General features: G+C 44.1%; 1 protein-coding gene and 1 long non-coding RNA gene across 2 annotated transcripts, besides 3 other annotated features; one reads left to right on the top strand and one right to left on the bottom strand.

Moving 5' to 3' along the window:
• Positions 1-5,469: 5,469 nt before the first annotated feature.
• Positions 5,470-9,734, top strand: BSX (brain specific homeobox). Its single transcript, NM_001098169.2, has 3 exons — positions 5,470-5,894; positions 7,847-8,043; positions 9,413-9,734. The coding sequence occupies exons 1-3, from the start codon at positions 5,633-5,635 to the stop codon at positions 9,653-9,655; spliced, it is 702 nt and encodes a 233-aa protein (NP_001091639.1). The 5' UTR covers positions 5,470-5,632; the 3' UTR covers positions 9,656-9,734.
• Positions 5,662-6,164: an enhancer, noted in NCBI's record as "H3K4me1 hESC enhancer chr11:122851848-122852350 (GRCh37/hg19 assembly coordinates)". NCBI's record gives its function as "activates a minimal SCP1, AML or CMV promoter by ChIP-STARR-seq in primed H9 embryonic stem cells {active_cell/tissue: H9 hESC(primed)}" and the evidence as "EXISTENCE:reporter gene assay evidence [ECO:0000049][PMID:30033119]".
• Positions 8,008-8,610: an enhancer, noted in NCBI's record as "H3K27ac-H3K4me1 hESC enhancer chr11:122849402-122850004 (GRCh37/hg19 assembly coordinates)". NCBI's record gives its function as "activates a minimal SCP1, AML or CMV promoter by ChIP-STARR-seq in naive H9 embryonic stem cells {active_cell/tissue: H9 hESC(naive)}" and the evidence as "EXISTENCE:reporter gene assay evidence [ECO:0000049][PMID:30033119]".
• LOC124902774 (uncharacterized) lies at positions 9,667-23,381 on the bottom strand. Its single transcript, XR_007062926.1, has 3 exons — positions 23,223-23,381; positions 11,111-11,163; positions 9,667-9,771 (listed from the first exon to the last, which is right to left on the bottom strand). It is a non-coding gene; the product is annotated as an uncharacterized LOC124902774 (long non-coding RNA).
• Positions 10,118-10,936: an enhancer, noted in NCBI's record as "H3K4me1 hESC enhancer chr11:122847076-122847894 (GRCh37/hg19 assembly coordinates)". NCBI's record gives its function as "activates a minimal SCP1, AML or CMV promoter by ChIP-STARR-seq in primed H9 embryonic stem cells {active_cell/tissue: H9 hESC(primed)}" and the evidence as "EXISTENCE:reporter gene assay evidence [ECO:0000049][PMID:30033119]".
• Positions 23,382-23,399: the final 18 nt, after the last annotated feature.

Below are 23,399 nucleotides of genomic sequence, written 5' to 3'. Positions count from 1 at the left end.
TGTTTCTCTTATTTATTTTGCTTAAGATAATTTTTGCCATACAGAATTTAAAAAATTAACACGGTTAATTTTATCTATGTTTTCTCTTATGACTTCTAAACTTTCATTTTATACACAGAATGGTCTTTCCTATTTTAATTTGTTTAAAAGTATTTTTTCAATATTTTTTCCTTGTTTCCTTTTAAGATTATTTATCATTGTAAGACAAATCCCTTTAGAGTGACAACATTTGTACCTTCCATTTTTTGGTTCATAACTTGATTGCATTATCAATGGGAGTTAGAAGATAAAAATCAATTGGCTTCATGAAAAATATCTTCAAACAAAACAGCACTTTAACAAACATATACCTAATATTTAGCTCTACACACAAAGTCCTTTTGAGAAATGTTTACAGGCTCATCTCCATACCACATGTACAATTTGATAGGGTCTTATAATCTCTAACACCAGATACTCCCAACATACAATGGTAATAAGTCTCATGTCCTTTTATTTTCAAAAGTATGCATATTAATTTGGTATAACTGAAGTTTTTTGTGTCAAACTTTATTTTAAATCTGATCATAGAATTTGAATGGTTTAGAATGGAAGAAAAGAATATTCAAAAGGCATGTTTATTAGCTTATTGGGTTTTTTTCCCTAATAATATATTTGGCTACTCTTTTGGGCTACAGTGGAGAAACTGGTGGGATACTAACAAAAGACTGATGAAAGAGCATTCTTATTCCACCATATATCTTTTGGAGGATTAAAAAAGTGGCATACATTTTCTCATGCTTCAAAGGTCTTCTTTTCTCTTTATCACTTCATGAAACATGCTTTGAATTGAGATATCAAAGGCAGAATAGAGAACTTCGAGAGAAATGAAATGAGTTTTTGACCCTATAGACTGACCAACCTGAAGGAGCAAATTGGATGGATTTAGTCCTCCTTATATTAGGAACACTGTGATCTGAATACCACATCCTTAAGCATGTTGTTCTCATGTGGGTTCACACCCTAATTTCCACTGCAAACATATTATTTTTGAAGACGCATTTGTCAGAAGCAGCCAGCAACTCCCTTTCTTTTTGTAGACATGTCATCCACTTTGGTAGTGCTTAAAATAAAGTACTCAGATAGAAGGTAAGTTGCAACAGACAACAAGCAATATAATACAAAATGTTATGAGTAAAGTGTGTTACTCAGATACTTCTAAAATACATTTCTTCCTTTATTTTGAAGGCCACGGTATAGGCAACTTGGCTAATGGAACCAGTCTCTTCCTTTGATCATCAATAGAGTTATCTTTTCGGGAAACTAAGTCCCAGCTCAGATGACCATTTTAGCTGAGGCTGACATGAAAGGGAGAGGGACTGTTTAATTATTAGCTCTCTGAAAGGCATGTTTTTTTCTTTCTTTAATAATTCTTCAGCTGAAACCACAAACAGAGTACTTTTGGGGAGGTGGCTTCATTTGATCTTTATTTCTTTACTCTGGGCACTGTGTAGGATCTGGGCTTTATGTGTCAGCTTTGCAGAGAGACAGCCTGCTGGCCCTGGGTGACAGATTCTAGTCAAGTAAGAATCAAAAGTAAGTATGATTTAGGTGCATTTACTTAATCTCCTAAGACTTGGGAAGGTGTGTGGCAAGGAGCCTGGCATATAGTAGGTGCTCAATGAATACTTAGAATAATTGAATGTAATGAATGGATGAAGGACAAGTCTGGAGAATGTGCTAGGCTGCTTTCTGCAACTGATTTCCATTTTCTGTGTGTGTCTATGGATATTTGAAAGGGTAATAGGGACTATGGCAATTGACTAAAAGTGCTGTGCAACACAGTAGCCACTAGCCCTATGTGGCTATTGAGCACCTGAAATATGACTAATCTGAGATTTGTGGAAAGTGTAAGATACACACTGGATTTAGAAGATTTAGTATGAAAAAGGAATGCAAAAATCTCATTAATAATATTTATATTGATTACATGTTAAATAATATTTTTGATATGTTGGGGTTCAGTGAAATACATTAATATTTCACCTGTTTTCTCCTACTTTTTAAATGTGACTTTCTGCTTTTTTAAAAATGTAACTAATAGAAAATTTAAAATTACCTGTGTGGCTTGCATTATATTTTTACTGGAAGCACTGGTGTAGACTTTAGAGATAAACCCGGCGTTGTAACATCTCTGCTTTTAAAGAGAAAATAGTTTCCCTGTCCCCGTTCCCTGCCACAGACAACCTTTGCAAGCTATCTAAAAATGTCTAAAAATGTACTCCTTCCCTGGGCAGCCCTGGGGCCCGCGGCTGGTGGGTGGGGTGGGGGTTAGGGCTCGAGCAGGCAGGAAGGTGATGCCGCCGCCTTTGGTATGCGTTGCCTGCCACAGGAAGATACCAGATTCAATACCAAGATTGAATTTCAGAGGGGCCTCCCTAACCCCACCACGGAAGTAAGGCGGGCCAGCCACCGCCTCGAGCCAAAGTTTCTGCAGCCCTGGCAATCCCCCGCGCGTTTCTGCTCAGGAGCCCCACACCTCAGAGAAACTTCCCGGCGTCCCCAGCCTCGCTGTCTCCCCTAGGCTTTGGGACACAGCTTTAAGGGACTGAGCGGCCCGGACGGGATCTGAAACCTTTGGAGGACCAGCCACGTCCGCACAGCCCGCCCATGCGCGCTGGCACCAGGACCCGCAGGCTGCCAGCGGCGAGTCCCCGCCGCGGTTCCTCAGGGCACCCCCGGAGAAGGGGGCGGCCCTGAGGAATCTCCTGCACTCCGGATGCCCTATTTTCCCCGCCCTTAGCGCCCCAGGGCCCTGCTCGGGTCCTGGCCGCGCGTGGTGTTCTTTTCAGCCGCGGAGCTTTGTTTCCCAGTGTCGCTGAAAGGAAAGAGAAAGAAAACGCCTTCGGTCCTGGAGGTCCTGCCCCTTCCTGAAGCGATGCCATTTCCTCCCTCCATCTCTCTTTTCTTAGATTCCTCCTGGGGCCCCGGCAGAGGCGGGGCGGCTGCGCCCCGAGTCCCTCTCCGGCGGCAGCGCGGGAGCGGGGCTGGAAAAGAGGGCGCCGGGAGCCGCCCCGCCCCTCATCGCTCCTGGCTTCTCCGCCTGAGAGCAGGGCCTGGGGAGATTGCCTTAGCTTTGGGGGAAAGCAGGACGCTGAGTCCAGGGCTCACGAAACAAGGGAAAGATAAGGACGGAGGAGGCGGTCTACATTGCCCCCCACTCCCTTCCCGATCCCGCAAACACTCTGAGAGGTGTGTAAGTTCTGACGGGGTGGTTGCAGTGCCTTGGCTCAAAGGTAACTGTCACTCGAAGATGTTTTTACTGCCCCTGCTCTCAAAGGGACATTCAATAATCACTTCTGCTTCTGCGACAGAAGTTGGTCCCCTCCCCAGAATGAAGCCGAAATCCCGCCCCCAAGGCTGGGTGCAAATCTGCGCTCTGTGTGAGGCTGGAGTGTAGGGCGCCCTCAGGCACAGGCCACACTCTGGTTGTACACCCGTCCAGCCCTCGATAGCCACTCGGCCTATAGGGTGGAGAGACAGAACGGCTTGATTTCTACTCTGCTGATGCTGTAAGCTCACAATGGAAGCGGGGGTGTACGTGGACGTCTGTGAAGTGTGGACCGACACCCCTGGCCCCTCCTCACCAGTCTCCTCCGTCTGGTGACTGAGGACGATGGGCCAGGGCTTAGCGCTAGGAAAGGACTTTTGGAAAGTCTATTGTCTTGCTCTCCACGGCCACCTGCTTTCAGGTCTTCTTTTCTTTTCTTTTCTTTTCTTTTCTTTTCTTTTCTTTTCTTTCTTTCTTTCCTTTCTTTCTTTTTCTTTTATACACATATTTTATTTCCTTCCTTCCTTCCTCTCTCTCTCCCTTCGTTCCTTCTTCCCTTCCCTTCTCCTTTCTTTCTTTCTTTTTCTTTTTCTTTCTTTCTTTCTGAGATGGGGCCTCACTATATTGCCCAGGGTGGTTTTGAACTTCTGGGCTCAAGCAATCCTCCCGCCTCGGCCTCCCAAAGTGCTAGGATTACAGACGCGAACCACCACGCTGGGCCTCTTCAGTTCTTACTACTATTAGAATTTTTTAAAAATCACGTTTTGGACTTCAGATCAAAGCATTCTGATTTCATTTAGATGCCTACTTGCCAAGATCTTATTTTAAAGTCTCCCCCACATCCCTTCCTCCTTCCTCTCAAGCTCTTCATCTACTTACCATTTACCAGTTCATCCTCATGGAATAGAATGCTCCCACTTCCTGGTGCACTGTAGTTTGGGGCCTAATTGATTCTGGTAATTAATTTGTTCTACCTGCTAGATCAGATGGAAATCCTACCCATGCGCCCCAGGATTAGCACTTGGCTTTCTAACACCTCCTCTAATTATCTAATAGCATGGGTTGTGAGGACTCAGTCTCTATTAAAACACTTTTACTATTAGCAGTAGTGATTGGAATTGTGATGACGACTAGATTTCAACAAATTAGAGCTTAAAAATGGGGAGATGGGAGAGAAGTGGCTTCTTCTAATTTCCCTGAGTTTAACATCAATAATTAGAGCAATTTTCAGAGATGTGAGCTGAAATTACCCCTGCTGTGTTGTAGATGATCACCCTAATTTTAGCAAATTGACTCCAGGGAAATAAATGTGACAGATTAGAAAAAGACAAACAGAAAAAAACAAAAGATTGGGAGGGACGGAAATGAAAGGAAACAGGCTGGGAAAAGGAGTGGGAAACAAAAACCTAGTACAATTAATTCGGGGGGCTAGGGTTGAAAGAGTAACAGCAGAAATAGCAAGCCGCGTGAGTGAAATGAGGAGAAAGCAAAGATTTGAGGCGACATGGAGGATGGCACTAAGAGGTGACTCTGGACATATTTACACAGACCAAATAACTTGACTAATGTAGACATAACCCTCCTCCTGCCCACTGCCTATAACTGAGGTAAAGACTGTTGTGATGACCATCATCATTTTCTTTCTTTACCTTAATAATCCAGTCTTCCCTCAGCCATAAACTTAAGTAGAATCTAGCAATCTGAAGTATCAGATGCCCTTTCTCCTCACTTCCTCCCTTCTTTTTTTGCCACCAAAATTATGGAAACTCTTAAAACCCAGGCCTAAATGCCTGAATAAGTGCTTTATCCATTATTGCTTTGGGGCCCTTTTAGTGCCTTCTCCTCTGTAAAGAGGAGTTTGCCGGACAACAGAGACTTTTTCCTTTTGGCTTTCTTTTAAAAACGACTGGGAACAAAGCAGCCCCTGCAGTGACGGGGCAGAAATTGAGGTCGAGAAACCTGGTAGGAACAAGAACCCTGCGGGCTCTGTTGTTCCCAGGCTCGGCCGGTGGTGTTCAGCACCGCGGACAGCTCCCCGCCCCGCCCCGAGCCTCCCGCACCCTCCCCTCTGCCTCTGGCAGCCTCGTCATTGGCTCTCCCGGCCCCCCTCTCCAAGCTGCCAATTCTCCAACACAGAGACCCAACCTACCCAGGAGCTTGTCTTCTTGCCTCTCCAGCGCCCGGGGTAGCCCAGGCCCGGGAGAGAGCAGCGGAGATTCGAGCCTCGGAGGGTGGTTGCCGGCTTTCGAGCAGGCTTGGAGACTCTGCCTGCGTCCTCCACTTCGTCCCGGCCCTTGTCCTGTGGCAGGTGCTCCGCTCAAGATGAATCTCAACTTCACCTCTCCTCTACACCCGGCGTCTTCTCAGAGGCCCACATCCTTCTTCATCGAGGACATCCTGCTGCACAAGCCCAAGCCGCTGAGAGAGGTGGCCCCAGACCATTTCGCCAGCTCTCTGGCCTCTCGGGTGCCTCTGCTAGACTATGGCTACCCCCTCATGCCCACACCCACCCTCTTGGCTCCTCACGCCCATCACCCTCTGCATAAGGGAGACCACCATCATCCTTATTTCCTCACCACCTCGGGTAAGTAACAGGAACCTCAAGGTATGGGCAGTGAGAGAGCAGGGCTTCTAGCACAGACCCTAAGCCTGTGATGGAGTCAAGGAAAGGCCAGACTGGCTCGGCCTGGCTTGGTGGCCTCTTTCCCTAAGTGACAGTGGAAGGCTGAGGATATTGCTGAGGCCATGCAGAGCTCCCTAGAGGCATGCCAACCCACGGGGATAATTCGTGATTCCTCCGCACTCTTCATAGCGGAGGATAGGTGCCTGGTCAAGAGGCAGCGTATAGGGTTTGACGATACTCTTGGTAGGCAGTGCTCAGTGTCCCTGCTCGTGATCTTCCTGGCCACTTTGGTCCATCTCTCAATCCTGATTCTCCGCCTCTGCCCACTCAGAGGGAGACCCTTGACCATCCCACCCCATGGACACAACTTTTTCTGCACAGAAACTCAAAACACTCTGTCCAGGCCAGATCTCTTTTTTCCAGGCACTGAGCATTTGCAGATACCGCTGGGGGCATAGAAGTGAATGAAGGTTTGGGCTAGCCTGAATAAGACAGAAAGGGTGAGAAAAAAGGGGGGTAGGGGGAGATGCAGCTCTTTAACCCTCCGCATCCTCAACATCTAACATTTAACTCACAATCTTAGTCTGGGCTACCCTCCTCTGCCCCAGCTGCCAGCATTGCTGGAGCCGGGTGCTAAAGTATTTTGATTTCTCTGGTCTGACAAAAAGCAAGGGCTAGCAAAGTCTGTTTGGGACAGGAGGATGTGGGGAAATACTCCGATTTTTTTCTGTCTCCCTCTGAAAGGCCACATCCATGGTTTTTTCTCTGGCGTTTTCAATCTAGCCAGAATAGAATAATTCGTTGAGTCCAGACTCATAGCTCAGAGGCGGCAACAACCATGGTCGGTGGAGGGGCTGGGGGCAAGACAGGAGGCAGTTTGTGCGCGCTGGAATCCAGAACAAAGCTAAAAGTGTTTGTAAATCCAGGTCCGCATCTCTGCACTGGCTTCACCACCCGCCGGTGACAATCTATTCTCAGCTGCTCCGGTGGTCCTCCCATACAGCAGTGGCCAAAGCCCTAAGTACCCGCACTGGTTGTTGTTATGTTTGTTTATTTTCTCTGGGATTGGCCGATGTTGCTTGTGGCAGCTTCTCTCTGCTTGGTGCGTCTCAGACAGAGTCAAGCCTGCGAGGGTCAGGAAAGACAAGTCTCCCCGGACCCGGCCATGGAAAAACCCCTCAAACCCTTCTGCTTCGCTGGGCTTGGAGTGAGAGGGAAAGAATGAGAAAAAGAATGAGGACTATATTAGGTAGCTGGGTCCCTAGCGCGACCCCGAAACGGACGAGGAGACGTGAGAGGCGAGAAATGCTCCTCTGTTTCGGCTCCGGGGCTTCTCCGGATAAGGCAGTTTTGCTCTCCCTTTGGCTGCAGGGGGATAGGGGTGGCTTGGGAAACAGAAAGGTATTTTTCAGTAAGGTTTGGAGGCAAGATTATATCCATGCATCTACCAGCCCCAGAACAGCAATGAGTGTCATCAGGGGTCTAGGAGGATAGGTGGGGGCTGGGGACAGGACTGCTCCTGGGCCATTTGACGTTTGCAAAAAACTTGGCCAGGCGCAACTGAAGACTCCGCGCTGGCCGACCCTACGGAAGTCTCTCCAAGAAGACATTTTTAAACAGCCTCCGGATCTATTTTCCGATTTTCTTTTCTGTTTTATTTACTGTTTGTTGTTTGTATTTCTAGATGACTTTCCAGATAAAGATCTCCAAGCGCTATTCTTGCGGCTTTTTTTTTTTTTCTTCCTCTGCCCTGGATTCCTGAGAGAAAGGCTTGAGGGGCTTTGGGGCGAGCAGACTGACGGAGGCGAGGGGCGGAGGAAGGCACTGGGGGCTAGGGGAGGGGAGGGGAGCGGAGCGGAGATTGCTCTCCGGCGACCCACGCTCTGCCCACTTGGTTGCTCTTCTCTCTGCAGGGATGCCAGTCCCAGCGCTGTTCCCGCACCCGCAGCACGCGGAGCTGCCGGGGAAGCACTGCCGCCGCCGCAAAGCCCGCACGGTTTTCTCTGACTCGCAGCTCTCGGGCTTGGAGAAGAGGTTCGAGATCCAGCGCTACCTGTCCACGCCAGAACGAGTGGAGCTGGCCACGGCCCTCAGCCTGTCCGAGACGCAGGTGGGCGGGAGGAGAGGGAGGCCCTGATCTCTGCTTCGTTCCTCTCTGCCTTCAAGTCTTAATACCTTCGGGACCTTGTGGAGTTCGAGTAGAAATAGACCCCGCTGACGCTTATTCTAAGCCTTTCCCAAGAGCTTTCGTAAAATTACCTACACCTGGCCGGGCGCGGTGGCTCACGCCTGTAATCCCAGCACTTTGGAAGGCCGAGGCGGGCGGATCACGAGGTCAGGAGTTCCAGACAAGCCTGACCAATATGGTGAAACCCCGTCTCTACTAAATACACAAAAACTAGTCAGGCGTGGTGGCGCGCGCCTGTAATCCCAGCTACTGGGGAGGCTGAGGCAGAAGAGTCGCTTGAACCCGGGAGGCGGAGGTTGCAGTGAGCCGAGATCGCGCCGCTGCACTCCAGCGTGGGCGACAGAGCGAGACTCCGTCTCAAAAAAAAAAAAAAAAAAAAAAAAAAAAGAAAAGAAAAAGAAAAAAAAAAGTACCGACACCCCAACCCCATGTCATACTTACCCAAGCAAAATTTCTCGAGCGGGGCTCTGGACAGGAAGGAAACACTCCTCAGGTAATTCTGACGACCACCTCCAGGTTAAGAACTCTTATTCGTATGCCTTCCTCACTCCTCTCCGACCAGGCTGGGAACCCGGGTCAGAGGTAAATGGTAAGAGTTCAGGCGAGTTCTTGTCCTGAGAGAAGCCCACACAAGGAGATTTTTTCCCCCTTTCTCACTTCAATCTCTCTCACAGCGGCCAGTGTTCACATGCACCTCCGCTCCAACCCCAACACACACACTATGGTTTAAGTTCTCTCCCTGTTCCCCTGTCCTGAGTGGAAGAAAGGTTTTTATCTTCCTCTAGGCGCTATTCACCTGCAACCTCAAAACCCCATCCTCTCTTCCCCATCTTTCATAGTCTCTACCCGGAACGCCTCTTGCTATGAAATCATTAGCTCTGCCAGGCCCGGGTCTGATTTTCTCTCCGATGAGAACGCGGAGTTTCAATTCTCATCTTCTTGTCCAGGAGTCTTGCGGATCAGGTGGTTAGATGTCTCAATCAGAGGAACATCAGCTGAGCGTAAAAGAGACTTGCCCACGCAGCACCTACTATTAGTAGTTCTAATTCATAACAATATGCATAACTGCTAACCACCCATGTTAATCCTCATCATTATTTTGGGACAGTTACTCCTGAAAGCCTCAGACTGTTCGATTCTCATTCGGCTTAAGGCGATAACTTATGAGCAGTTGAGGCTATCACCGCTCTTGGATACTTCATCAACGGACTGCAGCCCATTTTCCTAAACCCCAGCGATGGCTCAGATTTGGAGGAATGACATGATTTTATTTTTATCTCCCCGAAATCAGGTGAAAACGTGGTTCCAGAACCGGCGGATGAAGCATAAAAAGCAACTGCGGAAAAGCCAAGACGAACCCAAAGCACCAGACGGGCCAGAAAGCCCCGAGGGCAGCCCCCGCGGTTCAGAGGCCGCCACCGCCGCCGAGGCTCGGCTGAGCCTGCCCGCCGGTCCCTTCGTGCTGACCGAGCCAGAGGACGAGGTGGACATTGGAGACGAGGGGGAGCTGGGCTCAGGGCCGCACGTGCTCTGAGCCGCCAGGCTGGGGAGGGTAGTAGGCAGGGGAGGAGACTGCGGGGCCGAGCGCGGTTCCCTCCTGGACCGGAAGACTCAGACTCCAGTCTCGTGGCGGGCCTTGGAAATCCGCTCCTGGAAGACAAACAAAACCCACCTGTCCTCCAGGCCGGTGCGGAGCCAGCACGGCCCGCGGCCCGGCCTCCCGCCTCCCCTCTAGCCCTCCCGGTCCCAGCCACGGGAGACTGTGCGCCCGGGCGCCCATTTTCCTGCGTCCGTCGTCCTTGGGGTCAGGGACCAGCCCAAGTACCGCGTCCCAGACTGGAAATTCAGCTCTCGGCTCTCTGTTTTCTCCGATCATAGACCCCTTTCTCCCTCGCCTTTCAGCAACTTGCCCCTAGCTCTGTTCTTTCCTCTCCACGCCAAGTCCTTGCCCGTTCTTGGGCAGTCCGTTTGGCTGCAAAGGGACCAGGTCTCTGGGGCCTCCGCTCCGCCGAGATCCAGATAGAACCACAATCTGATCTTTAAAACGTCCAGTTTCAGGACAGACTCGTGCACTGCTCGTCACTAACCTCCCACTCGCCCCCATCCCCCATCCCCAGAGTCCCATCTCTGACTCAAATACTAAGGCGACTCCCTCCTTCTCTGGGCGGCGCTTCCATCCTCTCCCGTCCCTGTTCTCCTCTAGAGCTCGCGGTTCTGCATCCTGGCACCCTTCCTGAGTTTGTAGCCCCCAGGCGCAGACGCCCCTTACGCCCTGCCTCCCGCGTACTGCGCGGCGCCAGCGCGCGGCGGGAAACTTGGGCACAGAAAACCCCTAGAGCAATTTCTGCTTCCCGAACTTGTTGCGCTCCTGTCCCGCAACGCTTCCACGTTCCACGGGCTACTGATATTTTAAAAGTGAGTGTTCCTCGGGTTGTGTGTGGAAATATTCATTCTCAGTGCATTTTAGGAAATCAAGATGAAGGCCAAAGGGTTAAGGCTAAAGGCGTTCCGGGCGTGCACCTGTTTGGGGAATAGATGGGGCGGGGGTCTGATTGACTTTGCGCTTTACCCCTCTCCTTTTCCCCTGGGAGGTCTCTTATTCTTTTACCGGGTTTGTAGGCTCGCAGGGCAAAACTGGGAATGATCACGCGTTTCCAGGAATGGTTTGCCACCGCGTTCTCCTACGCGTACGCCCCCTCCCCTCGGCCCTAGGCAGTTTCCTAGTCCCTGTAGAAATGAACTTGCGAATAACCTTTCATTAACTGATCCCCTCCCTCTCACTCCAAATTTTCTGTTTCGAATCGTTTGATTAATGGTTTTGAGTTCCACCTAAGTGGAAAAGTGGCTCTGGTATTCTGTGGCTCTGAAATGCTGAAGAGACAGAGATGTATTGATATTTGGAGTTTGAAATTATACTACCGAATTGTGTGATGACCCTACACACTCAGTACACATATAAATATAGCAGCTGTGCCAGAGGCACTCTCACCTTCTGATTCTTTCGCTTCTGGTTGTGTCTCTAGGTAAGTGAGTCCAGGAAGGCTGGAAAAGAATTAGTAGGACTGAGTGGAATCCTGACCCTCGGGTTCTAATGATTAATAATAATTATAAAAACCACAGTGGGTGTGAGCTTGGGTTAATCTTTTTGTTTTCTTATTTCTCCAATATGGGGATGAATCCTAAAGATCATTTTAGGTCTAAGTTCTATCCTTATGTGAATGTAGCAGGAGGCCTTTTCGTTTTTCTGCAATAGGCTTGTTGGAGAAACATTATCCCAGGTAAAGATAAGTGTCAGAGTGACGGCTTATCCAAGTGCATCATTTAGGAGGCAAAATTATTGGTTTTAAAACGTAAGCATTGTATAGCCTTTTGGATTTTCCAAAGTGCTCTGTAATCAATCAATGATCTTGTGAGTCTCAGATGACATATGGGTATTTTTTCCCTTTCATAGACGAGGAAATTGAGGCTTAGCAAGATTGAAGGATTTACTAATGAAATCAGGACTAGCTAACAGCCAAGGAAGGATTAAAAAATGTCTCCTCTGTCTCCTTGTTCACTTCTTTTCTCATGCAGTTTATTTATTTATTTTTCTTGGTAACAATGCATTGATTGGCATTTTGTCTCTATCACTTTATAAGAACACCTCTCTCATCTCTTTAGATTACACAACCTAAAGATTGTGGCTATTAAAAGCAAATCTATGCTCAGATTTTTCTCCTCCCTCCCTTGTTCAGATGATGGCAGTACTGTTTTAAGGCAGAATTTTTTGGCAAATGCTTTACAATATGACAAAAGACTTGGTGGAAAAAAAAGTGATTTGTGACTGAGAATGTTCTTGGTAACTTGGAAGGGAAAGTGTGTGTATCCCTTGTGTATAGGGGTACTATTACACAAGATTATGGAGCCAAGGGAAAAATCGAATTCTTCTAATCCCACGAAGAACAAATACTAAATAGGGGTTTGAAAGAATCTTTAAAGTGAGTAGAAAAACTGTATTTGGGCAAAAGTGTGTGTGTGTGTGTGTGTGTAAATTAGATGGTGAATCCAAACTCAAAAGCACCAGGCATTTCTGTCTTCTGCTTTCACAATAACTTGTCAAGGGCCTGTTCTGAGTCTAACAGGAGTGGATTGGGTGTATTTCATTACCTTTTTGTCTTCAAAAAGCAGGTAAATAGGGAAGCTGTTAGTATATGCACGGCGCTGCCTGATTGGAGGCAGGATGAGTCCTGGAGCCCAGGGACTATTTGGGTCTATAATTCATGAGCATTAAACTTGGGAAGATACTCATTCCTCCTTACCCTGGTGCTCCCCTGTGGTGGTTTCTTGGTGGATTAGGTAGCAAGGGAAGAGGTGAGAACTGTGGCACCAGCCACGCCAACTATGGCACAGTTTTCTCATCAAAAAATTCCCTGTAATTGATGGCAAACAATCGAATAGCAAAGTTCTAGTTTTATTTATTTTTATATAGTGAGTGAGTGATAGTGATAAAGGATAGGCACAATTTAGTCTCAATTTAATGTAACATGACAGTGCTTTTTGGTTTTGGCTTTCAATACTGATCAAAGCTTCCACAGGCTGAAAAAGTATTTTGTCTGAATAACCCAGGCTTTTGCTTCAACTCAGTTTCACTTGTGGTAAAGATCTGACAAAACTATGTTTATTATGATATATCTTTAAAAGACATTCAGAGGTCTAATTTTGAAGAAGCAAAAATATCACAAAATAGCCAAGGTAGGGAAGTCATTTTAGATCTAATCCCACATGTCATAAATAATTTGTTCTGCACTTGTTCGAATGCTGTGTTTCTGATGGACTTCATTTCATAGATTCTCAGAGAGGGATTCCTGATAATATTTCTGCTCACATGATGTGAGAATGTAAGAAATGGACAATATACCATACAGCCCGGTTTTAGCTGATGTTAGCACTAAGAAATGCTGAGCTGGAGTCCATGACACCAATTGAAAAGATAGAGGGCTGGCTTTCATCAATGTATTTGATAATTAGAGAGAGATGTGAAGGCACAGAGCAAGCAGAATGCTTTCTGGTGCTAAGAGAATTGTGCAATAAACATATTTAGTTGAAGCAGTGACTCCCTGGTCTTCCTGAATTGGGCTCAATATATGTGAAAAATAACAAGTTAATTGACGTATTTTATACATTTATATTTTTGGCATCACATTTTAAAGAGAATATAGACAAGCTAAAACTCATCCACTATGCAGGAACCTGGATAGTAAAGGGTGTGGAAAACAACAAATAAAGAAGTGTGAGCTTTAGCTTGGAGGAGCAAAGCTTTGGGGGAGAAGTGGGGAAGGAGGTTCAGCTATGGTAGTTGAATATGAATGGTTACGGGGCTATTAAGCATGAAGAGGTATATCTATTCTGCCATGCTAACCGATGATAGAACCAGAATCAATGGGTGATTCCAGGGAAGCAGATTCTGGAGCAACATTTGAAGACAGGCACTGTGTTGTACATCAATAGAACAGGATAAGTCCACAAAACATTGAGTACGTTTTCACTAGAAATCCCAGAGGCTGGAAGACACAACATAAGGGCTTGTCTATTACAGATTTCTCCAGTAGTTGGAGATTGGGCTAGATATCCTGTACGGTTCTTTCTAACTGTTAAGATCCTAATCTATCTTTTTTATTGTAGGAAAGGGACTGCAAGTCCCAAGTTATTAAAGTTTTTATCTCACAAAGATTTCAGTTTCTATACTTTAACTTAAACACATATATCCACAGCAATTAGAAGTTTTAAGGGAAACAACAAAGAGAGGAAAAGGATATTTCTTTATTTATTAAAGAAGTTCCAACACCTCATTCTAGAAAGTCAGCGAGAACAAAGTGATGTTCCACTAAGTCAAGGACAAAGATACAGTCAGGAAGAAATTGTCAGTGTTAGAAGAGATATTTGACAAAATCTAAGCCCTTCATTTTATAAATTGGAGAAATTAAGGCCCAGATATAGTGGTGAGTACTTTGCTAACATCACATAGACAGTGGTGGAATTAAGACTAGAAGCCAACGTTAATTATCTTACCTTACAAATAACTCATGTTGTGATAAAAGTGATTGTGGAGCTACTGTCATTGTAGCATATGGAGGAGAAGATTTTTCATAGCAATTTTGGGTATAAGTTTTTAACATTGCAGGTAGAAATTATCTAGTAAAATCTTAGATCAACTTTTGGAAAAACTTCTGATTAAGAGCCATCTGAAAGTTGAATGAGCTTTCCTGAAGGTACTAAATTCCTTAGCCCTGTTTTCATTGAAGCCTATTTAGAAAGTAGTCCTATATACAATAGGATGAGCTAGATGATCTCTTAGCTATCTTAAATTTCTACATTTCTCCACTATAAAAATTTTGACCTGCTCTCTTTTAATTACAGATGAGGCAACTGACAGTCAGAGATATTGACTTGTCTGAAATTACACAGCCTGTTATCAGGCAAGTTATGAAATTAATACATCTAACAGTCAGAGATAATTCCAATAATATTTAGGAGTGAGATGAAAATTCAGAATGGTTCTTGTGTTTTCTCTCCTATTGTATTTTCTGGTTGTAACCCCCCTCCCAATGACATATTTCTTTTCCATTTCATTTATGCCTGTTCTCTGAGAATTCCCAGTGTGTACACTGATAAACTTTCCTCCATGATTTCATTGATACGAATTCCATGAGCCTTCTCTTATTACTCTGTGTTTTTTTTTTTTGGTTTTTTTTTTTTTTTTTTTTTTTGAGACGGAGTCTTGCTCTGTTGCCCAGGCTGCTGTGCAGTGGCATGATCTTGGCTCACTGCAAGCTCTGCCTCCTGGGTTCACACCATTCTCCTGCCTCAGCCTCCAGAGTAGCTGGGACTATAGGCTCCCACCACCACGCCCGGCTAATTTATTTTTATTTTTATTTTTAGTAGAGACGGGGTTTCACCATGTTAGCCAGGATGGTCCCAATCTCCTGACCTCATGATCCGCCCACCTCGGCCTCCCAAAGTGCTGGGATTACAGGCTTGAGCCACCACGCCCGGCCATTACTCTCTTTATAGTATTGGGTAACCACATTAGATTTAGCATGATGAATGGCTTGACTTAGAGGCTTACATTCTTTTTTTTTTTTTTTTTTTTCTGACAGAGTCTTACTCTGTCACCCAGAATGGAGTGCAGTGGCACAATCTCGACTCACTGCAACCTCTGCCTCCTGGGTTCTGGCGATTCTCCTGCCTCAGCCTCCCAAGTAGCTGGGATTACAGGTGTGTGCCACCATGCCCAGCCTGTTTTATTCTTTTAGAGACAGTCTTACTCTGTCAGCCAGGCTCACTGCAACCTCTGCTTCCCAGGTTCAAGTGATTCTCATGCCTCAGCCTCCAGAGTAGCTGGATTACAGGCACATAACACTATGCCTGGCTAATTTTTTTTTTTGTGTGTATATATATATATATATTTAGTAGAGACTAGGTTTCACCATGTTGGCCAGGTTGGTCTCAAACTCCTGACCTCAGGTGATCCACCCACCTCAGCCTCCCAAAGTGTTGGGATTAGAGGTGTGAGCCACCACGCCCGGCCCTAATTTTTGTATTTTTGATAGAGACAGGGTTTCAACATGTTGGCCAGGCTGGCCTCTAACTCTTGGCTTCATGTGATCTGCCTGTCTCTGCCTCCCACAGTGCTGGGATTATAGGTGTAAGCCACTGTGCCAGGCTGATGCTTAAATTCTAATTTTACTTTTACCAATGATAACATTATTTCTGTAACTTGGCATCTGAAAAATGAGGTTAGAGCCCTATGAATCAGTTTAGAATGGTGAGGGGATGAGATAAGAACTATGAAAGTACCTACTGTGAGGTCTTGGATGAAAAGAGCTAGAGGAAGATAATGAATTACAATATAGATCTGAACATATCAGTGATAAATGTGATATGTTCCAAACATCCATAGTACTACAACTGTTACATGGTTAACTAAAAGTTATTAGTCTTGGGCCTAACCACATCATTACAAAGGAGTTATGTCTCTTTCAAAGAAATTTTATTTTCTAAAATAACTTCATCTTATTTTCTCTTTGTCTGTCATTGTTCTACCTCTTGGGCTAAGAGAGGATGTGTAAGCCCTGAATGAAATAGGATTCAGAGCCTTCACTGAGGATGTTTCCATTAGAAGGGTCCTTTCCGCCCCATTACTTATCCAACACTCATCCAGCCCTGGAGTTTCTGTTATCCTATTTGGTGACAGACGTAATGCTATGTGGGGAGAGAAGTTAGAATTCAAATTCATGGGAACCCTCTTAAGTGATAAAGACTTGCCTACGATTCCAGTATGGAATCTACTAGGGAAAAGGCACGATTTCTTCTAAAGTTTTTACAGAACTTTTTAGCTTAAAAAAAGACATGATGGGCTGGGCACGGTGGCTCATGCCTGTAATCCCAGCACTTTGGGAGGCCGAGATGGGCGGATCACGAGGTCAGGAGATCGAGACCACCCTGGCTAACACGGTGAAACCCCATCTCTACCAAAAATACAAAAAAATTAGCCAGGACTGGTGGGGCGCCTGTGGTCCCAGCTACTCGGGAAGCTGAGGCAGGAGAATGGCGTGAACCTGGAAGGCAAAGCTTGCAGTGAGCCGAGATGGCGCCACTGCACTCCAGCCTGGGAGACAGCGAGACTCCACCTCAAAAAAAAAAAAAAAAAAAAAAAAAAAAAGACATGATGAGCCAGGCGTGGTGGCACACGCCGGTAACCCTAGCACTTTGGGAGGCTGAGGTGGCTGGATCACTTGAGGTCAGGAGTTCGAGACCAGTCTGACCAACATGGTGAAACCCCGTCTCTACTAAAAATACAAAAATTAGCTGGGAGTGGTGGCGCATGCCTGTAATTCCAACTACTTGGGAGGCTGAGGAGGGAGACTCGCTTGAACCCGGGAGGTGGAGGTTGCAGTGAGCCAAGATCTCACCACTGCATTCCAGCCTGGGCAACAGAGCAAGACTCTGTCTCAAAAAAAAAAAAAAAAAAGACAAAAAAAAAAAAAACCCATGATGGATATCTCTTTATGACAAGAATAAGTTGTTTAACAATATTGACTAATATAAACTTTGGGAATTAGCTGAACATTTCTTTCTTTCCTTTTTTTTTTTTTCCGAGATGGAGTCTTGCTCTGTTGCCCAGGCTGGAGTGCAGTGGCGCCATCTTGGCTCACTGTAACCTCCACCTCCTGGGTTCAAGTGATTCTCCTGCCTCAGCCTCCCAAGTAGCTGGCACTACAGGTGCATGCCACCATGCCCAGTTAATTTTTATATTTTTAGCAGACAGGGGGATTCACGGTGTTAGCCAGGATGGTCTCGATTTCCTGATCTCGTGATCACCTGCCTTGGCCTCCCAAAGTGCTGGGATTGCAGGCGTGAGCCACCACGCCTGCCCTTAGCTGAACATTTCTAACATCTATTGTCACCCTAGTCTCCATGGCTATAGATGATGGAGTGGCTAAGTGTAGTTGCCAAATTCTAGCTGGAAATTAAAGAATGGCTAAATAGTTTTTATTTTTCCACAGTGCTTGACTTGAGATTGGAAATAGGCTGTGGAAAACAATGGTCATAAGATAGAAGGGTGCTCCTCATCCTGAGTTTCAGATGAGAATAATTTACATGCTATGAGCAAAAAACGAATACTGTATGCATGCTCTGCTCTTTTTCCATCTGTTTTTTTTCTCCTTCCCTTCCTAAGTTCTTTAATTTTAAAGATTAGGGTTTTATCACCATGAACATTGTTTAAAGAGTCAAATAGTTCTATGAGGGTTTTTTTTTTTTTTTTTTTTTTTTGAGACGGAGTCTCGCTCAGTCGCCCGGGCTAGAGTGCAGTGGCGCAATCTCGGCTCACTGCAAGCTCCGCCTCCCAGGTTAGCGCCATTCTCCTGCCTCAGCCTCCCGACTAGCTGGGACTACAAGCGCCCACCACCATGCCTGGCTAATTTTTTTGAATTTTTAGTAGAGACAGGGTTTCACCATGTTTGCCAGGCTGGTCTCGAACTCCTGACCTCAAGTAATCTGCCCGCCTTGGCCTCCCAACGTGCTGGGATTACAAGAGTGAACCACCGTGCTCGGCCTAGAGCATTGTGATGATGTGTACATGCAATTCTCAGCTAAGCCAGGTAATCAATGACTTTTCTGCGAGACTTTTTGTTTTCCTTGGAATTAACACTTATTTTATTATTCTTAATTTTAATGTACTTATGACTAGTTTATTCCCAAACTCTTTGCCGTTTGTCTGTATCACACTCTCAAGATATTCACAAATTCTTAACATTTCATTTTCCTCAACACACCTCTCCCAGAGCCTTCTGATCTGCTCCATTCTGGATTCTATGTAAATGGCTCTCCCTTCCCAGCATCTTGGGGATTCCTTTAATTTCATTGTATTTTACTTGTTTCTCATATCTTTTTAATTTCTTGGTTTACTCTCTCATTATGGTGGAGCACAGTTTACTACAGTTTCTTGACAATTGGTACATGAGAGGTAAATGTTTGGAGATCTTCCTTATCTAAAAGTATCTTTATCCTAATTTCATGCTTTATTAGTAATTTGGCTGAGTATAGCATTCTAAGTTGGAAATCATTTTTGAATACTTTTGAGTGCATCACTTCACTGACTTTTGGCTTCCAATTGCTATTGTGAAGTCTAAAACGACTTCGATTGTTGATTTTTTATGTGTGTCTTGTTTTATTTATTCATTTATTTTCCTTTTTGGAAGCTTGTAGGATACTTTCTTTGTAGCCAGTATACTGACATTTTACAATTATATGCCTTGCTTTAGGTTTATTTTCATCCATTGTTCCAGGTATTCAATAAACTCTTTTAAGTCTGAAAATGTATTTTTTTTTTTGAGTTATGGGGAGTACTCTTGAATTCTTTAATGATTTCTATAGATCTCCTGTTATTTGGATTTTTACCCCCTGGATTTATTCTCTAAATTTCTAATCTCTTATCTCCTATTTTCTATCCCTTTGCCTTTTTTCTCTGATTTTTGGAAAAATTCCTCAATGTTGTCTTCTAACCTTATTTTTGTGTTTTTAATTTTTTGACTCTAATTCTAATTCCCAAGATCTCTTTTAATTTTCTTGTTCCTTTTTAAAATGGTCCTGTGTCATATCCTCCGATGTTTGGAAATTCTTGGTTGTCTGCTCATATTTAAGTGAGAGGCCAGAAAGCTGATAGGAAACTGAGTACATGGATGGGACTCGTTGATTTCTGAGGTTTAACTGTAGGATAACAAGGTTGGGGTCTTTAGTTGGAGAACCTCTGAAGTCAGGATTTTTAGGTCTTTTTTTAGGCTGGTCAGATTCCCCAGAGAAGAACTTTCCTTCCAAATTCCTGCTTGTAGGATAAAGTCCCAACGTTCTGGGAGGCAAATGGAAGACCAGAGGTTTCTGTGTTTACAGTACACATGTTCACTATTGACTCTTTTTTCAGCACGTACTGTGCATCCTCAATAGAACCAATTGTCCCTGACTCCAAAGACACTAGGGCAGTGTCTTTTACTGTGGCAGTGCAAGGGCTGTGCTTGGCTGCATGGGAATTGAGGAAAGGATTTACAGGTGTAACTGCTCTGAAACTGACTTTCATGCAGTTACCCTTCATTAGCTCCCCCTGCCCCACGTCTCCATTCATTCCTACTTTGAGAGGTAACTGACACCATTAATTCCTGAGCATTTTGGGTATTCTAGAATGTAAGTCAGATTGATTCTTGGCTTTCCTATTGCTAGCTTAGAATTTAGTATTTTGGAGAAATCTCATATTATATGAAAATATAAAAAGAATTTAGTGTTTTTTGAGTCTGCTAATTCTTTTAAACAACTCATATGCTTTCCAGTTTTCAAAATGTTGTTACTATTGTCCCTCCTCCTGTTCTCCCTGTTCTTATATACTTATGTCACTTAAAAACCTTTACTGTTATTTTAGTAGGACTTGTCAAGGGAATGAAATAGATGTGTGTGTGTGTGTGTGTGTGTGTGTGTGTGTGTGTGTGTTCAGTATACCATATTTATCCAGAAGTCCTATAATTTGAATTTTCTGTTTTATTTTGGCATTTACAGTGAGTGATGGAGGTGTTGATCTTTTACCTTGACATTTCTTTTATGTAACTGACTTGTTGAGCTACAGGAGAATTGCATTATCACTGGAACAGATAAGAAGGCTGATTTCCTTGCCAAAACACAGAATAGCCTATCTACTTCATATTAAGTGATGCAGTACCAACGGCTTGGGATCTGCCTGGTTGAGAGCATTGGAAGTTAGAGTTAGTTCTTAAGAATCTTTGCCTGTGGAAGGTTCTGAATAGCTCTGCCAGACAGTCTTATAAATTTCAAGGTGAGGGAATTTATATTATTTCATTTTCCTTTGTCTCAGATTAATTTAAAACCTAGGTCCCTAGCTGCCTGAGGAGAGGGGAGAAACAGAAAGGATGAGCAGAGAGAGAAAGACAAAGATACAGATACACAAATAGACATATACAGACAGACGCATATACAAGTCTCTAAAGAGAATGATGCACACAGGACAGGAAGAATTGGGAGATGATCAATTAAGACATTAAGTGTTTTGTGACACATGGATGCATCTGCATTTTGCCCTGGGAACAAGGGCCATCAGCTCATTTTCAGAGGGCTGCTGGCTTCTGCAGCTCAGTCCTCAGATCAAAGCAAAACTGTCTGCTCGCATTTTCCAATCAGAATAGGGATGCTAATTTATACTCCTTAATGTGTGATGGTAAGAGACTCCTTCAATTAACTGAATTCTATAGCCAGCAAAATAAAAGGTATACAAAGAGGCGCAGGCTGGAAGAGCTGAAATTCTCATTAAATCAAAAGGTCCAGTATTCATTACCTCATGCATCTGAGGCTAAACACTAAATATTGGGATCATCAAAGGAGGTTTAATGGGTTAAATTGAGAATATAATCTAATTAAAATATTAGGCATGGCTAAATAGTTCTTTGATATTCATCTAAAGGTTTCATTAAAAATAGATGCTTGAGGTTTTTATCATAGGAGATTATCAATTTTAAGCAGAAACAACAGATTTGGGAACCTCATCAGCACTACTTCAAAGTGTCACCATTGTGTGGAAGCAGGGGAAATGGGAAAAGACATCACTGCCAGGTGACAGGGTGGAGATATGATATGAGGCAGGGCCAACCAGGTTTCATGATAATGATTTTGATAGTTGTCTGGATGGTAAAAAAATAAAATGTAAGATTGATTTGGGAGATGATTTTGCCACAGAGGAAAGAATAAAACATAGAGATCTGAACTGGTTTTATTCAGTTTGTTCTTGACTTCCTTCCTCTGTTTAGACAGCTTCCCAAAGGACGGCTGATCATATTTTCTGGGTTTTAAATTTTGGGCAGTTATTTCCCCTACTATGAAATTTGAACCATAGGGATATCTAGCACTAAAACCTCTCTTGCAAAAGCTTGAGACCCTAGTGACAGAGGGTGCCCTGAGTAGCCCGTTTAGCAGCCCCAGTATCAGTGCTGGTCTCTACAAGCTGCCAGTTCAGCAAAGGGTATTTATGAAATCTTATCAGAGATTTCCAAGGCTTCACTAAATACATTTGCCTGGAATGCTCACATCATTGTAAACCTTTCAACCTGTTAGAGCTATTTAATAGCGGAAGACCATTTATTCAGCTTATTGAAAATTAATTACTTACATTACCCAGGTTTGCAAGGGGAAAATGAAAAGGCAATGGAGAGGCAGCAAGGGAGATAAATCCTGTTCACCAAATTCTTTTTCCCTTTCTTCATATTTTCCAGAGCCCATATATTGAGAGGTGGAGAGAGCTGAAAATATTATTCATTTTGTATCTTATTGTATCTTGCAATGTGTTGTCTAACATTTTGGAAAAGTGTCAACTTTCCAATTATTTTACTGAGCCAAAAGTAAATAACCAAACATGAAAAGTGGGAGTGTTTCACACTAGGAAGTAATTTAGAGAGTCTGATGAACGAATGAATGAATGAAGTCTTCCATCCGAAGCCTTTTGCTTTCCATTGGCCAGGTGTTTGCTTAGGAAATTGGGATATTTTACGTTTCCTCTGTCTCTTTGTGAGATAGATGTGTGGTTTTGCTTAATGAAGCTAGAGGGTGTGTAGAAACAAACATTGCACTTAGTCTGGAGGCAGTAGGGTGGGGGGACAGTGCTGAGCATCAGATTTTCAGCTTCTGGGACCCTCCTTCAATATATTTCAAAAAGTGGAATAAACGTCTAAATGTAACTTTTTATTAGAACATATGTCCTTGCTTTTATTTTGCCTTTATAGTATGGAAAAATATTATTTTGACAATATTTTATCATCACTGATGTAGGGAGAACAAGCACAACGGATAAACAAAATCCACAGTCATTCAAAAATTTCACTTCATGCTACAGTTTTAAATCCTTTCCTGACTGGGAAAACAACTAAAGAGGCAAATGGAGTATTTCTGTATCTTTGTGTCTCCCTGTTTTTACCCATTGGGAATAGCAATTGTGGAAACACAGTTAGCGTTAGGGAGGAGAATTCCTATAGTCGTCCTATGAATACTTGACTGTTAGAATGAAATGTATATTATTAAAGCCTGATTCTTACTCTAATAGGAAAAGTAATCTTAAAAAAGGCATATTTAGGAAAGCAACCCTGATTTTTACTTAGGAACTTCACATTTTCAGATGCTACTTCTAATATAATGGTAACAGATACATTTTGAAGCACATCTTGGGATAGAATTACCGAAACTTGTCTTGATATCTGCAGACTATAACCCACATCCAATTCATTTTCTGCTATTTTTCAATAAGTAATTAAAGAAGAATCCCCCGAGTTATCTAGTCTGCTATTGTGGGCCATTTGCTATCAACTCAAAGTTCTCAATTAGCTCCAGTGTTGTTATAATTACCGGACGTGTTTTCAAACAACTCCCAGTTAATAACTGTTGGGATGGAGTCATTTTCTCACTATAGACTAGACTGTGCACGTTCTTGCTTGCTGTGATGTTTTGACAATGATTCATTAACCAATAATAAGGCCCCAATTGGAACCATTAAGCATCAGTGCCTTTGCTAGGCTTACCTTTTATTTTGTTCCTCAATATTGTCTTTTCCTGACTTGGTTTCTGGATAACTCCCAAGAGACTCCTTACTATACAAAACAATATCAGGAAGACAGCTGTCATTAAATTCAGCTACTTGTAAAAAAAAAAAAAAAAAGCTCCCTTTAAAAGGATGCTCTTGTTGGAAACTCAAGATG

Source organism: Homo sapiens, chromosome 11 (genome assembly GCF_000001405.40).
Source record: "Homo sapiens chromosome 11, GRCh38.p14 Primary Assembly".
In the NCBI taxonomy this organism is placed as follows: domain Eukaryota; kingdom Metazoa; phylum Chordata; class Mammalia; order Primates; family Hominidae; genus Homo; species Homo sapiens.
Note: the sequence above shows the minus strand (reverse complement) of the source record. Positions and strands in the feature narration are given on the sequence as shown.